This window comes from Homo sapiens, chromosome 6, assembly GCF_000001405.40.
Source record: "Homo sapiens chromosome 6, GRCh38.p14 Primary Assembly".
In the NCBI taxonomy this organism is placed as follows: Eukaryota; Metazoa; Chordata; class Mammalia; order Primates; family Hominidae; genus Homo; species Homo sapiens.
The window spans coordinates 11,853,788-11,870,903 of NC_000006.12; the positions used below are offsets into that span (position 1 = coordinate 11,853,788).

The window sequence follows — 17,116 nt, forward strand, 5'->3', positions numbered from 1 at the left end:
AAAAAATTCAAATGAGTTTCTGGAAGTTGTTCCATTTCAGCCCCCTAGTAATTTCTGAGTAATTCCTTCATTTGCCTTCCAAACACTTGGCACAATATTATCTTCAGGGCACAAGCTATGCCCATTAAGCAAATTTATCCAAGCAAAACTGTGCAGCAAAAAGTGGTTTAACATATTCCAAGGTTCAATGTCTCTTTTTTAAGGCAGCTGCTCCTCTCAGCAAAAATAGAATTTAGGGAAGTGCCAACCACAGCATCCTGGGGACTGAAACATCTTTACACATAGTTGTTCTATTTTCAAATAAGAATATATATATAGATATAGATGATGTTTAAACATTGCAAAGCTTAAAGGCATTCACAGAGAGATTAATTGTTGTGTGTGACTATAAGTAACACAAGGCTGAGATTAATAATCTGCTCAGAGAACTATTTTTCATGCGACACACAGAATCTTATTGTGTGTATTTCATTATTGCTATCTGATGGTCCCAAGGGTTCACTGTGTTTATATAAAGATTCCTTGCCTCTTTCCAGAGCCTGGAATGTTTATATTTTAGCACATAATCTTCAGAGACTCTGATGTGAAAAGTAGAATGTGTTTTTAAAAACTCGTTGTGTATTTTCCAGAGTTATTTACAAAAAAAAAATTTTTATTGAATTTGCATTGATCAGTAGTTCCCAACCAGAGGTGACTTTGCTTCCCAGGGGACATTGGGCAATGACTGGAGATATTTGTGGTTGTCACAACTAGCATCGAGTGGACAGAAGCCAGGAGTGCTCAAAACCTACCATGCACAGGACAGGCCCCACAGCAAAGAATTATCCAGCCCCAAATCTCAATAATGCCAAGGCTGAAAGACACTGGTATAGAGCGTCTATCTTGGTTATACATGACAACACTACAGTTTGTTCCATCCAATAGAGAATGTCGCCCATAATATACCCAGAGCAACCACCAGTGGCCTTTGCAATTATAACCCTGTTGGCCTGAGAATACACATCCCCCGTTTCTGTGCATGTCTAGTCAGGGAACTGACCACCAAGTTGGAAGTGAGAGATTCTAGGTCATTTTACTTATGGCTTAAATAGCTCAATATGTTAAAGAGAATTTGGTGCTATCCTTGTTAGTCATGGCAAATTTCCTGGCTGCCTATAGAGAAAAGAGGCAAAGAAATCTATTCTCAGCTGATATGATGGGAAAAGAATTTGATATCTTAAAAAGAAATACTCAGTATTTACCACTGATTTGCAGCATGACCTCGGGGAACTCCCTGGCTTAAAAGCACAATGACTCATGAGTTCTCCGTGATCTGTGACATATTGAGAGCACATAGTGTTGCCTCTCTCTGTTTATTCTTCTAATTCGTTAAAAGAATCAACTATGATTTATTGAAAACAATATATATATATATATAGTGTGTGTGTGTGTGTGTGTGTGTGTGTGTGTGTGTGTGTGGTGTCAGCCTACCTTTTTCCTCCATCAACAGGGAGGGTTTGATTAGGGGATGAACCCCAAATGCTACTACTGCCCTACTCCAACAGATCCTATTTTCACTGTTTCTACATCCATCTCACCTTTGGGAACCATAAAATAAGTGTTTTGCTTGAAGTGTAGTCAGGGAGAGTCCTCATATGGATGTAACTATTCAAGTGTTTCTTCAGGTTTTTACAATAGGTAGAACTTGCAGATATACATTTATCAATTTATTATTAATCATTAGTGTTATGAACATCAAAATTTCAAGGTAGCAACTATCCAGCTTTCTAAAGTAAAATCAAAGTGCTTTTATTTTGCACCAAGTATAGTCTTAATCATGGCCTTCAGGTATATTTCCTTACTCCAAACATAATTCAGTGGAAAGACCAGGCAGTGACCTGGGGCACTTGTTTTTATCTCTCTGAAACTTATTTGTAAATTGGAGATAATAATCATATTTTATAGAGTTCTTGTGAGTTGAAAATGTTAGAAGTCTTAATACTGAAAATATCTACTAAGGATTAAGCAGGTGGATGAAAAACTCACCCCTGGATTCAAGTTAATGAAATCTTGGAATTCCGCAGAATAAACAGAAAAGCCTAAAAACTTGCTAAGAGAGGGAAGAATATTGGCCACATGCCAAGGGATGCAAATCAAACTGGTGTCAGACATTCTGTTAGCAACAGAAGACACTAGTAGATAGGGTGGCAAAGCTTCAAAGTTTTGAAGAAAAACGAATTTGGTCCTTGCATTCTATACCCAGCCAAACAATCATAAAGTACACGGTCAAATTAAAACACCTCCTGATATGCAGTAACTCAAAAAGTACATCACTCCTATATCCCATATGAAAGTACTCCCCGGGGGCTTTCTTACTACCAAAATAAAGCAATTTTCAAAAGAACATGAGACATAAGAGAATGTGCAATGAAGTGTGACCAAGAAGAGGTGAGGAAGCTGCAAACAAAGTTAAAAAGAATTAAATAGATACTAATTGGATATTCTCCTTGGAGCAGCAAAAGTTTGTGGCACAGGATCATATTACTCTTTTATGGATTCCTTTATGAATAATGTTTCTATAATTATAATAGTCCAATACTCCTTCAGAGTAAATATCTAAGGACAAAACATGGAAGGCAGTTACAGGTGGCTAGTTGAATTTAAATGTCATAAATGTTAGCAATAAATGATAATATGACTAACCAAAACTGGGAAACAGGGAGGGATAGAGGGATAGAGAAAGAAGATAGTGTATTTCAGCAAAAGTCTTAATTTTTCCTAGTAGAAGTCAACAGATACTGTCTGAAATAGATAATCACACAGTAGAGAACTACAGGGCTTGATACAGATGTCCTTTATAACTCTTACTCTTGCATTTCCCTGGAAGTATTCAACATGCAATTTGATAAGATAAATAAATTAGAGGTATGAAATCGGCAAGAGGAGGAAAAATGATCACTATTTGTAGATAACATGCTTATGTAAGTGTAAAATCACAGAGAATTTTCCAAAACACTTGCAAGCCATAAATTAGATCAATAAGTTAGTAGAACATGTCAGAAATCAATAGCCTTAATAAAGTGTAAAAAATGACCAAAAATAGCAGTTCAGGTAAGTTACCATGAAAAATCTTAACTAGTGTATATAACCCTTATGAGGAAAATTTTAAATCATTTCTGATGGATACAAAAGTGACAACTAGCAAATGGAAAGACTTAATGTGATAAATTAGAAGACTCCATCTCACGAAGATGTCAATTTCTCCTAAGTTATTTTATAAACGTAGCATGTTGCAAACAAAATACCAATTAGAGAAAACTGATAAAGAAGAGCAGTTATTATTTATACTAGATATATTGTAAAATATGCTATAAAACCTCAATAATTTAAACAGTGTGGCACTGTGTCATGAATATAGACAGACAAGAGGAAAAGAATAGAGAGCCCATGCATCCTCCAAAATAGTCCCTAAAATTAACAGAGAGTAAAGATGATAGCTCAAGTCAGTGGGGTGAAAGAGGAGTTTTTAACAAACGTTTTGGGGACAACCAAGCAGTGATGAAATAATATGAAAGAGGATATCTACCTCTCACTGTATTCCAGATAAACTTCAAAAAATTCTAGAAAAGAAATGTGGTTTTTAAAAATTCCATTAAAGCATAATACCAAAAGAAAACATAGACAATACCCTTTAGCACTTTCTAGCAGACTCAAAATCCAGACATCAAAAAAACAAAAAAGAGGTATCATTTCAAGTATATAAAAATCAATATATTTTCAGAGCAAAACATCCTGAGCTAGTCACAAGACAAATGGCAAACTGGGAAAAATATTTCTAACTTATTTTACAGACAAACAGCTCATCTCTCAAGTGTATAAGGAATTCCTAGATGGTGCTTAGGAAACAGCCAGTAATCAGTAGAAAAAAAAAATGGGCAGAGGATATTAACAGAAAGTTCACAGAAAAATAAGACAAATAGACTCTAAGTGTTTGAAAAGTTGCTTAGCCTCATTTATAATAAGAGAAACGCACGTTAAAATTATGCTAAGATATGAGATTTTATCTAGCAGGTAGCAAAAATCTGAAATCTGTGATAAAAATGTGACATGACAGAAACTCATTCATTGCCAATAAAATAGTGTAAATTTTCACATTCCCCATGGAAAGCAATTTAACAATATTGACCAAACGTAAAAATACATTTACTCTTTGACTCAGTAATCCAATTCTAAGGAACTATCCTAAACATACACCTCATATTTACATAATTATATGTGTGCAATATTTTTTATGGTGACATTTATGTTATAATAAAAAATTAAAACAATGTCATTCAGTAAATGAATAGTTAATTAAAGTATGGCACAGCCACTGAGTGAAATACTATGTAGCTACCAAAAGAAAGATAGAAAAAAGAATGAGAATGCTCTCTGCGTACTGATATGGAAATATCTTCAGAAAAGTGTTGCTGATAGTATATCAATCCAATATGCTGTACATATGCTTGTTTTTGCTCTCTCTGCATAAAGAATCACTAAAAACATAAATAAACTAATAAAAGTGGCTACCTATGCACAAGAAGCTATACAGTAAACAAGAAACTAATAAAAGTATCTGTCTATGTTCCTAGAAAAATTAAACATAGAATTAGCATACGGCCCATCAATTCAACTTCTACCTATATACACAAAAGAACTGAAAGCAGGGACTTGAACAGATATTTATTTATACACTAGTGTTAACAGCAGCTTTCTTCACAATAGACAAAAGATGGAAAGGACTCCAATGTCAGTCAATAAATGAATGGTTAAACAAAATATGATACATACACACAATGGAATATTATTTAGCCTTGAAAAAGAATGAAATTCTGATACATGGTACAGTACAGATAAATCTTGAAAACATGCTAAGTGAAATAAGTTAGACACAAAGGGACAAATATTGTGTGATTCCACTTATATGAGGTACCTAGAACAGTCAAATTCATAGAAACAGAAAGTAGAATAGAGGTTACCAAAGGCTGAGGGGGAGGCAATGGAAGTTATTGTTTCATGGGTACAGCTTTTCTATTTGCGGTGATGAAAAGTTTTGGGAATGGATGATAATGATGGTTGCACATCAGTGTGAATGTACTTAATACCACTGAACTATACCCTAGAATATTAAATTTATAAATTTTATGTTATGTATATTTAGGACAATAAAAAAAGAGTGAGACCTATAGAGTCAGGAGTTGGAGGTAGGATCTGCAGGAGTGACACTACTCAACATATACCTTTGGAACTATGTAAATATATGACTGTATTACCTAATAAGAACAACAAATCAATTCTTATGAAAGATCTGGATTTTTCTCTTTGATCATTTCTTTGATTTTTTCTATATGCAAAATATTGCTTTATTTTGTTTCAGTGTTCTAAGTACCTTCATCGATATTAGACTGTTTAGATAAACATCTCCGCACCAGAATACTAAGCAGCAATGATTAAGAATCAACTGGATCTCTATTTCTTTCATTGCAATGTATACACTCACAGGCTCTGGCCTTCAGGCAGTACTCTCAATTCTGATCTTTGCAGGGCTGGTTAATTGCATGCACTGCATCTGCCTTGCAATCTCAGCCATCTACGTCAGGGGAGGGTGAGAGAGGGGAGAGTGGAGGGCTTCACTTTGTGCCTCACACTCCAAGACCACTTGTCAGGGCAACCGTGCCTTGGGCATGACGAGGTCTTTCCTTTGCCCCTCATTTCATTGGGCTCTTTTCACTTGCATGAGTCCTACCTGTGGCAGGGGAACTGAAGGCCAGGGGGATTAGCAGCAGCAGGAACAGGGTTCCAGACTTCAGTCTCTGTCTGCAGCTGCCCAGCCTCCTCCTGAACATTTCCGTGCAGTGAGGGCACCCACCGTGGCGGTACCCATTCCACTGGTTCATGGCTCCACTGGCAGAAATTTATCTCTTGGGTAATTGCTACCCATTGGTCCTGACTTTATTTTCTGGAATCAAAAAAAGTAAATATAATTCCTCTTCCGTATATAACTTCAGATATTTGAAAACCACTAGCATGTTCCTCCCACCAATGCATTGCCTCTCTAGGTCCTCAGGGTTCTCCATAGACCTGCATCTTTTTAATGGCTAGAATCCCAGTAACTCCTGAACCCGTCCAGCTCCCCTCTCTCAATGTTTCTTGGATCTATAGCCAATTTCCATGGATACACTTTTGATTCCATTCCTACTTCACCTATGTCTTACAAATCTCTTTTCCCCCTTAGAAACTGAATAGAAATGTGAGCCCAAATGAAACACATCTGTGTGAAGGTTGGTGTGGTAGGCAGTCTTTAGAATGCCCCTCAATGGTCTTCATTCCCTATAGAATCTTCTCCCCTTGAATGTGGGCTGTGCCTAGTGACTTGCCTCTAATGAATGAAATATAGCAAAAGTGATAGAATGCCACTTTGAGGAGGTTATAAAGCATGACGACTTCAGTCTTGCCAACATCTTTTAGGCCCTTCTCACTTGCTCTGATGAGTCTGGCTCTCAAGTGAGCTGCCCTGATGGAGAGGCCCGCATGTCCAGAATGAAGCATACCTTCTGCCAACAGCCATCAAGGAACTGAATCCTTCCTACAACCACGTGGGCAACATTCGAAGGAAATCCCCCCCTAGCCAAGCTTTGAGATGACTACAGCCCCAGTGTACACCTCCATTGCAGTTTTATAAAAGACCTGAGACAGAGGACCCAGCTAAGCCATGGGCCAGCCAGGATTTCCTGACCTATAATAACTGTGAAATAGAATAATAAATGTTGTTGTTGTAAGTCACTACTTTTCTGACTAATTTGACATGCAGCAATAGATAACTAATTTCAGGAACAAGGACAAAGAGTAAGAACTAATCATGGCCCACCTGAACCATTCACGTACTAAGCAGAGACAGTCAGAAGAACAAGTATTGACATCCTGCCCCTGTCCCCCTCTACAGGTAGAAATAAAATTTTCCTGATTCCCAGTACTTTGGGAGGCTGAGACAGGCAGATTACCTGAGGTCAGGAGTTCGGGACCAGCCTGACCAATACGGTTATACTTTGTCTCTACTAAAAATACAAAAATTAGCTGGGTATGGTGGTGGGCACCTGTAATCCCAGCTACGTGGGAGGCTGAGACAGGAGAATTGCTTGAACCTGGAAGTCAGAGGTTGCAGTGAGCTGAGATCATACCATTGCACTCCAGCCTGAGTGACAGAGCATGAATCCATCTCAAAAAAAAAAAAAATTACCACCTTAACCATTTTTTTTTTCAAAAGGACTTCACTCATGGAAGAAAAACTTTACTTGCTGTTTCAAAAAAATATTTGTGTGAAGCAGAAATTGGTTTCAATAACATTAGTAAAGAATACATCCTGGAAAATAGATAAAACTGGATGTAAAATTCTGGCAGCAATTTAATTGGACAGTCCCAGATGGTTAGGCTGAGGATAAATGTCTTGTCTGTGGGGAATTTTGGACGACACCTGGAGAAAGATTACACTGCGCCTAAACCAAATTGAGTTGCTTTCACAAGCCTTGTAAAATTTCATATAGTAAAAGGTTTTTTCTATATGCACTTCAATTTCATAGCAAGAATGGCAAAGAATACCTAAATGCAGAAGAGAGCATTCATGCAATATATCTAACTACTTGATATAATAACACATACAATTCAAAAATGATTACACTCTCATTATATCTAGGGTTTCTGAAACTACAAGGTAGTAGTTATGGAAAGCATGGCCCCTGGTTTCAACATCTAAAAAGCAGCCACCTCTTTCTATGAGTGTTCTCCTTTTGTGATTTTTTCTTCATTTTTCTTAGTCAACGATACTGTTGCTGCTTCTTAACAAAACTGGTAAAAACAAAATTATAATCATTGAACATAACACTCTGACAATCAAGACACTTAAAACCTTCAATCATCTGGGGCAAAAAAGCACTGTGTAGAACTCTGATTAACAAAGTGGGCTGGACGCGGTGGCTCACGCCTGTAATCCCAACATTTTGGGAGGCCGAGGCAGGCAGATCAATTGAGGTCAGGAGTTCAAGACCAGCCTGGCCAACATAGCAAAACTCTGTCTCTACTAAAAATACAAAAACAAGCTGGGTATGGTGGCGCGTGCCTGTAATCTCAGCTACTCAGGAGGCTGAGGCAGGAGAATCGCTTGAACCCCGGAGGCAGATGTTGCAGTGAGCCAAGATCACGCCACTGCACTCCAGCCTGGGCGACAGAGCGAGACTCTGTCTCTAAAACATAAAAAAAATCAAAAATCTTAAAAAAACGAAGTGGTCATCAGTTTCCTGGCTTGAGAACTTCCACAACTTTCCTGATCAGGTCATCACTGGAGGTCTGATTTAAGTTTGTTTGAAAGCTGATGTATGAACATTCTGGTTCTGGAGTGATGTGAATAGTTCCATAAGTGCTATCCGATTTCGTTCCTTTCATCGACTACCCACAAGGATTGAACAGTGTGGCATCAATGACAGAACCTGGTGTCAGGGCACCAATTCCAGTCCACGTGACATCCTCTGCAGTGACACAGTCTTTCATGGAGAAAGAATCTTCCCTTAACTGCTAGGTCAAACTCTCTCATCAGCATTTCCAGGGTTTGATCTGGCTTACTACCCCACTCTCTGGGAAATCTGGAATATGTAAGTACCAACAGTCAGAATTTATATGTCTTATATAATACACTGCTCCATTTGGAAAAATTGCTTTAAGGAACTCAATTTCTTTCTGAAAATCCCAGGTACCTTTAGTGAGAAGGCTTCATGAAATCCTTAGGAAAATAAAAGAAGCTTTGAATTGAGTCAAATCCATTGTAATCCCTAGCAAGCTTCAAAAGGAGAACCAGTGCTTTCGGCCAGAGGGTGGTACAACATGTCTTCAAAATGAAATGTCTCGACCGGGCACGGTGGCTCAGGCCTGTAATGTCAGCACTTTGAGAGTTCGAGGCGGCAGGAACACTTGAGTCCAGGAGTTCGAGGCTGCAGTGAGCTATGATTGGGCCACTGCACTCCAGCCTGGGTGACAGAGCAAGACTTTCTTCCTAAAACAAACAAACAAAAAGGTATGCCCCCATTCAGATCTCAGAATGGTATGAAACACCCCAGATCCTTGGTTTGCATTGAGTTGTTTCCAGGAGAACCAGACTTCTAGCAGCTTCTCGGTCCCTTAGGAAAAACGTGCAGCTCCCAGTGAACAAACCAACAGCCACAGAAAATCAACTAAATTAAACCTCCTCTCCTGCCATTGCTGTCACTGCTGCAGATGGTTTCAGCTGTGTTACTACAGTTCAGATTGCTTTTTGTTTTGCTATAGTTTTACATTAATTTTTTTTTAAAAAAAAGGACTCATGAACTTTTCCCAGCTTTTTGTGAGCCAGAGTTGAATGTGAGTCTCTCCAAAATAGAGGCAGATACAGTTTAGTCTCTGGTAATCCACTGCTTTCCCATTAGAGAGAGTAGAATAAGCACTAGCTAATGTTTCTGGACATTTTATGTAAGCCCATCTAAGCCATGTTTAAGCATCCAGTTTAGTAGTGTTAAGGGTATTCACATTGCTGTGAAACTGATCTCCAGAACATTTTTATCTTGCAAAACTGATACTTTATACCTATTGAACAATTCCCCATTTCTCTCTCCTCCCAGCCCCTGTCAACCACCATTGTATTTTCTGTTTCTGTGAATTTGACTACCTTAAATATTTAATATAAATGGGAGTATACAATATTTGTCTTTTTGCAACTAGCCTATTTCACTTACCATATGTCTTCAAGATTTATCCATAATGTAGCATGTGAAAAGATTCCCTTCTCTTTTAAGGCTGAATAATATTCCATTGTAGGTATAGAACATCTCTCATTTATCCCTTCATCTGGCAATGGACATTTGGGTTGTTCCCAACTTTGGCTATTGTGAATAATGGTGCTCTGAACATGGGTGTGCAAATATTTCTTCAATATTCTGCTTTCAGTTCTTTTGGATATTTGTCCAGAAATTGAAATGCCAAATCATATAGTAGTTCTATTTTTAATTTTCTGAGGAATCTCCATAGCGTTTTAAATGGCAGCTGCACCATTTATTTTCCCACCAACAGTGCAGAAAATTTCCAATTTCCCCAGATTCTCACCAACACTTGTTATTTTCTATGTGTGTGTTTTTTATTATGGTAGTGATCCTGATGGATATGAAGCAATATCTCATTGTGGTTTTGATTTGCATTCTCTAATGATTGGTGATACTGAACATCTTTTTATATGTTTGTTGTCTATTTGTATATCTTCTTTGGAGAAATGTCTATTCAAATCCTTTGCTCATTTGGATTTTTTGTTGTTGAGTTGTAAGAGTTCTTTATAGATTCTGAATATTAAACCGTTATCCACTATGTAATCTGCAAATATTTTCTCCGTTCCATAGGTTGCCTTTCCACTCTACTGATTGTTTCCTTTGATACACAGAAACGTTTCTTGGGTATGACACCAAAAGCACAGGCAACAAAAGTAAAGATAAACAAATAGGACTAGAGGTGACTTAAAAAAATCTGTCCAGTCATCAACCTATGCACACTATCTGTTTCTCTATTGATCTACTCCCCGACCCTGCCTCACACAAACAATCCATTGGTTACCATGGTTCTGACAACCTCTAGTCTCTAAACTACAGCTAGCTGATTTACAACCCCCTTTCTTCATTGCTACCATCTGAGAAATTGGGGCTCTCCAGGGCCAGCTTTGGAGACAGTTCCTAAATAGGAACATTTTTACACTATTGGTGGTACTGTAAACTAGTTCAACCCCTGTGGAAGACAGTGTGGTGATTCCTCAGGGATCTAGAACTAGAAATACCATTTGACCCAGCCATCCCATTACTGGGTATATGCCCAAAGGATTATAAATCATGCTGCTATAAAGACACATGCACATGTATGTTTATTGTGGCACTATTCACAATAGCAAAGACTTGGAACCAACCCAAATGTCCATCAATGATGGACTGGATTAAGAAAATGTGGCACATATACACCATAGAATACTATGCAGCCATAAAAAATGATGAGTTCATGTCCTTTGTAGGGACATGGATGAAGCTGGAAACCATCATTCATTCAGCAAACTATCACAAGGACAAAAAAACCAAACACCGCATGTTCTCACTCATAGGTGGGAATTGAACAATGAGAACACTTAAATACAGGAAGGGGAACATCACACACCAGGGCCTGTTGTGGGGTGGGGGGAGGGGGGAGGGATAGCACTAGGAGATATACCTAATGTAAATGACGAGTTAATGGGTGCAGCACACCAGCATGGCACATGTATACATATGTAAAAGACCTGCACGTTGTGCGCATGTATCCTAGAACTTAAAGTATAATAAAAAAATTTAAAAAAATAAAAATAAAAAAATGCAAAGAGAGAAAAAAAAAAGAAGTTGCCTGGTTTGAGTTATCCTTTGCCTAATCCCTTGTGTCTGTTCCTCACAACCAGAATCATTTTTCTCTCTTCCAGTGGCACAAAACTGCTTACAGCTGCCTGAAATGCAAAAATTAATGTGTGTCACCCTGCTTTGAGTACAACACTCTTTCTTATTTTACTACTATTAGGAGACACATTCATTTAATATTAAAATTTATGATACACTTAGAAAAACAGCACAGTACACTTTTGGATCTTTTTAACTTTTTCTGTTAGAATATTGGCTGCAGCAGATTTTCGTTAGCATTTAAATTAGTCTTTAAAAAATTCTATTCTAAAATGAATTATCTCTCTTATGATATTTACCTAAATTTATCAAACATACCAAAATATGTAACTTCAGCAACAAATGTTGTGTTCCAGTCCCATTCCTCACATTTGTAGGGCCTAAGAATACAAACAGAAGTTCACATACCATATGACTAAGTATTTAAAAGTATAAATCAAGTTAACACACTATTATATAAAATATGTACAGTTGATTTGCATTATTCTCACATTCTGTATTTGCTAATTTGCCTACTAGCTAAAATTCATTTGGAGTCCCAAAATCAGCTCTTGAGTCACTGTTGTGGACATTCACAGACTGTAAAGGAAGGCAAAGATTTTGAGTTGCCAATGCGCATGTTCCCAGCTGAAATGAACAAGGCGAAGCTCTGCCTCCTCCTTTCAGCTCTTATCTGGTAAATGTGTGTCCTTTTTATGGTCTATTTAGTGTCACGTGTTTCAAGTTTTAGTGCTTTTTGTTGGTAGTTTTGCTGTTTAGAATGGCCCCAAGTGTCACGCTGAAGTGCCAGACAGCAGGGTACTGGTCCATCGCCCATTAGGAACTGGGCCTCACAGCAGGCAGTGAGTGGCCAGTGAGTCAGCGGAGCCTCATCTGTACTTACAGTCACTCCCCATCACTCGCATTACTGCCTGAACTCTGCCTCCTGTCAGATCAGTGGTGGCATTAGAGTCTTATAGGAAAACAAACCCTATGGTGAACTGCACATGCGAGGGATGTAGGTTGTGTGCTCCTTATGAGAATCTAATGCCTGATGATCTGTCACTGTCTCCCATCACTCCCAGATGGCACTGTCTAGTTGCAGGAAAACAAGCTCATGGCTCCTACTGATTCTACGTTATGATGAGTTATATAATTATTTCATTATCTATTTCAATGTAATTATAATAAAAATAAAGTGCACAATAAATGTAATGTGCTTGAATCATCCTGAAACCATTTCCTACCCCCAGGTCTGTGAAAAAATTGTCTTCCATTAAACCAGTCCCTGGTGCCAAAAAGGTAGGGGATCGCTGCCATACAGTGCCCCTAACTGCAGGGAGGCTGTGATGAGCATTATGGAGAACATACAATGGGCATCGCTCAGACATGAGTGATAGTGCTGTTAGCCCTGAGTTCAACATTAATGAAATCAACAATATATGTTAAATAAGATGTCTTTGAACGGGAACAGTTTATGTACTCATCAGTTGATAAAAATGCTGTGACCAGGAACCTAACCATGCATTTCCCCACGGCCATTGTTCAGTATTTGATAATTCAGTGCTCCCTGTGATTTTATAGGATGCAACTACCACAAATAACAAGAATCAACTGTACTGGCCTCCTACCATAAGAAATACACATTCATAAAGACACAATAAAAGAAGATGTGCAAAGCTATGGTTTTTAGATGACTAAAAATTATCTTCTAAAATATCAAAAGAAATATCAAAGAAAATAGACTTTAATTATTATCATAGATGTCTTGGTGTCCTGTGAACAGGTTGGCCATGTTTGGTTGAACTGTAAAGACACACATAGTTCTTAAGGTATTGTGTATATACTCCATATTTTTTTTTCTTGCCTTCATTTCGGCAAAGACACCAATAATGTTGTTATAATAAAGATTTCCATATAGTTTGTTCTATGGTTAAGAATAAACCAAAGAATTAAAAATGTAATTGTATGCAATATATACAAAATATAAATATATTTTATCTAAGAGCAAATTTAAATAAATACTAAAATTGAAAAATTTAAATATTTATTTTTTATTGTTATCTTTCTTCCAAAAGTTAGTTTTCTATTAAAACTAAGAGAAAAAATAGAAATTGTGTTACATGAAATCAAAATGTATAATAAGTTGTTTACATAGAAATTATGATTAATACGTATCAACTTTTAAAATAAAACTTAATGTATTAACATTTTACACTTATTAAGTGTTTTAATAAAACCATTCACAGTTCTAGCTTTCAATATCTATCTAGTTGCCAACATAAAGCACTGGTATCACTCAAGCAACCTCTAGATCTATATATAAATTTAAAATAATATGATTGTTTAACATAGCAAAATGTCTCTTAGCTACTATGTGCAACTACTGAAAAGACCTTGTTAATTCCCAAGTACCTGCAGAACCACAAACAGGAGGAGAAGCAGGAAATGAATGCTGGGCAACACTGAGAAACAGTATTTTGTTGTACAAGAATAGAAGGATTGGGCCGGGTGCCGTGGCTCATGCCTGTAATCCCAGCACTTTGGGAGGCCAAGGTGGGTGGATCATTTGAGGTCAGGAGTTCAAGACCAGCCTGGCCAACATAGTGAAACCCTGTCTCTACTAAAAATAAAAAAATTAGCTGGGCGTGTTGGTGGGCGCCTGTAATCCCAGCCACTTGGGAGGCTGAGGCAGGAGAACTGCTTGAGCCTGGGAGGTGGAGGTTACACTGAGCCAAGATCAGGCCACTGCACTCCAGTCTAGGCGACAGAGTGAGACCCTGTATCAAAAAAAATCAATCAATTAATGGAAAATAATAGAAGGATTTGGCAAATTAATTAACTTACCTTTTCTGTCTCCCAAAAGATCTCACCACTTAAATTTTCCCTATACTCTGGAGTAGTGCTTTTGTCTGTGCTGACAACAGGGATGCAACCCCAGAATTTCCATAGCATTCAGATGCAGTCATTTACTGTTTCAAGGACATTAGACAAAGATGTTGAGAAGCATATCCCTGGGCCATGAACAATGTCAGTCATCAAAAGGGATATCTGAGGTCGAGCTGTGGCAGATCTGGGCCCTGAATCTGAGCCGTGTCTAAGAAGGTGCTGAGTACTCCTAATAAAGGTAAAAGGGGCTGCATTGAGAAGGAAAGTCGCTGCAAGCATTCCTGATCTCACTGGATCATGGTGCACATTAGGCCATTGGCTGGACACAGCCACATGGACGTCTGGTGACCGTGGCACGGTGCGCTGCATCTGAAGTACCCGCCTGGGTTGGCTACAGCTCTGAAATGAATTAAACCCTTTCTCCTGGTTGAAGCTGAGTTTCCTGCTATCAGCATAGCAGAAGACACTTGCAGCCTTAAGTACAAAATGAGGTAATATTGTGAAATGTTTATTGTTGTCCATGTGATTCTTGGAGGGCATCTAACTATGGATTCCTGTTCCATTGACTGGCCAAAGTCTATTCCCTCTTCCAACCTTTTGAATTAATTAAAGAAACACTTTTATTTTTTTTTGGTAACTGACTTACTTCTTCCACCTTAGACAACCAATTTCTCTTTGTTTTCTAAATGTAGCAACATACACTCTTTCCTAGGGCTCATCACGTTAATGGCAGCAAGAACAACAATAAAGGCAAGCGTTTCTGGAATGCTTACTAGCTGCCAGGCACTGTTCGAAGCACTTTAAATGTGTGCACGAATTTGTCCTCATAGCAAGCCCAAGAGATGAGCACATTTTTACCAGAGAGGAAACTGAGGCACAGAGGAGTTGAAGGGACCTGTCAGAGTAAGGTTACACAGGGAGTCTAACTCCAGTCCGTGTTCTTATGCAATTTGCTATATGATATTATGGGAAACGAAGAAATGGTACTTTTTATGTGCCATAGACATGCTTGGCTCATTTTACAGAAAAAAATAGATTTTCCTGCAAATGGGTTGAAAATAATACATACAAGAAAGAGCACTGTTATGTGTTCACTCATTGCTTTTCCTTCTGGGAGATGATGCCGTTGTCGATACCATTAATACTAGAAGTGGCTTCTATTTAGAACTCCTTATTGGCTTTTTTTTTTTTTTTTTGAGACGGAGTCTCACTCTGTTGCCCAGGCCTGGAGTGCAGTGGCACGATCTCGGCTCACTGCAAGCTCCACCTCCTGGGTTCACACCATTCTCCTGCCTCAGCCTCCTGAGTAGCTGGGACTACAGGTGCCCACGACTACGCCCGGCTAATTTTTTGTATTTTGTTTAGTAGAGATGGGGTTTCACCGTGTTAGCCAGGATGGTCTCAATCTCCTGACCTCGTGATCCGCCTGCCTCGGCCTCCCAAAGTGCTGGGATTACGGGCGTGAGCCACTATGCCCAGCTGGCATTTTTTTGATAAAGGGCCTCAGGTGTTCATGTAGAAAAGTGAACAGAAGAAAGAACTCCATGCAACCCATCACTGCTCAAAAATCTGCAAAGAACCTACAAACCTCAGGAATGTGTTTGCAATGCCCTGAAGTGTCACATTTCACTGGGCAGGAAACAGTTAAATAATTTCCCCCAAGGTCACCCCTAATGTCAGTAGAAGAGCTGGGCATGGAGCCCGGGTCTCTGGCTCCCCTCCCTGAATTTCAGGAAGCAAACTACACTCTGACATTTAATCAGTGAGACATTCTGTTTGTGTTTAAGCATTCCCTCGCAATATTTGCAACCCAAACCTTGTAGCATGGAGTCAGCGCCTGAGAAACTGGGAAGGACATCTGACCCAAAGCCAAACCGCCAGTACTAGATGTAGAAAGAATAAGTTAAATCTAGCCATGTTCAATAAATGATGCCATTAAAAAATCGTCTCTGAAGACTTTCTCCTAATCCCCAATGTGAACACAGGTCAAATTACATTATGGTAGATGTGGTCATTATAAGATTCCTGATCCTCAGCCAATGGCCCTCTCCCTTATTTCCAGCATATTCCTTGCAACCAAATTCTAGGACATTCTCTGAGAATTTGCTACAGAGGGATTTGATCTGTACCCTAAAAGGGTACCATCACACATCTAAAAGAGTGGAAGGCGTGCAATGGATGGCGACCGTCTATTAGCAGGAGGTTGAACTGCATGGTCTATTTTTCAGAACTCTGAGCGCTGAGCCAAGATTAAAGCAAGAGAACTGTCATGAAGGATTGGTGTTTTAGGCCTGAGGCAGCTTTGGTTTCACCTTGTCTACAATTATGGAAAGGCCTACATCTTGCCTGTTCTGGGTGGAAGAACAGACTGAAAAACGTTTACGCGCTTTACAAAACAGCTACATTTCCCTCTTGTTTTTCACCCCCCGTCCCCACCCTGCCTTCACCTTGGAGATGATCCTGTCAATTCAGTCCTGAAAAAGAACTTTCTTTCAGAACAGCTTCTTCCTGGTGCTCTCACTCCTTGACACTGGCCAAGGGTCCTCTTTGCCTCCAGAGGATGGATCCATCTTCCCCTACCGTGGAGACCATGAGAAGAAACATGGAGACACCAGGAGGCTTCAATTCGTCTCATACTGGAGTCTTCTTGTTGCATCTCTTTGTTTTCACATGACTATCTGCCAGGTTTCTGACTCTTTGTATCCCAGGAACCTTGTCTGGAGTCTTCATCACTGCCTGACTGGCCTTTGGGCCCC

At 38.9% G+C, this 17,116-nt stretch overlaps 1 long non-coding RNA gene and 1 pseudogene across 2 annotated transcripts, besides 2 other annotated features; both read right to left on the reverse strand.

Annotated features, from left to right (window-relative positions):
* Nucleotides 952–1,031: an enhancer, noted in NCBI's record as "active region_23996". NCBI's record gives its function as "activates an Ori minimal core promoter by ATAC-STARR-seq in GM12878 lymphoblastoid cells {active_cell/tissue: GM12878}" and the evidence as "EXISTENCE:reporter gene assay evidence [ECO:0000049][PMID:35858748]".
* Nucleotides 1,112–1,181: an enhancer, noted in NCBI's record as "active region_23997". NCBI's record gives its function as "activates an Ori minimal core promoter by ATAC-STARR-seq in GM12878 lymphoblastoid cells {active_cell/tissue: GM12878}" and the evidence as "EXISTENCE:reporter gene assay evidence [ECO:0000049][PMID:35858748]".
* On the reverse strand, nucleotides 4,685–14,813 carry LOC102724379 (uncharacterized). 2 transcript variants are annotated; one of them, XR_007059913.1, is made up of 3 exons: nucleotides 14,319–14,813; nucleotides 11,811–11,872; nucleotides 4,685–5,977 (listed from the first exon to the last, which is right to left on the reverse strand). It is a non-coding gene; the product is annotated as an uncharacterized LOC102724379 (long non-coding RNA). The 2 variants fall into 2 exon arrangements; XR_001743974.2 differs by lacking the exon at nucleotides 4,685–5,977 and adding an exon at nucleotides 9,027–9,058 and having other exon boundaries at nucleotides 11,792–11,872.
* Nucleotides 7,639–8,912, reverse strand: AMD1P4 (adenosylmethionine decarboxylase 1 pseudogene 4; annotated as a pseudogene).
* Nucleotides 14,814–17,116: the final 2,303 nt, after the last annotated feature.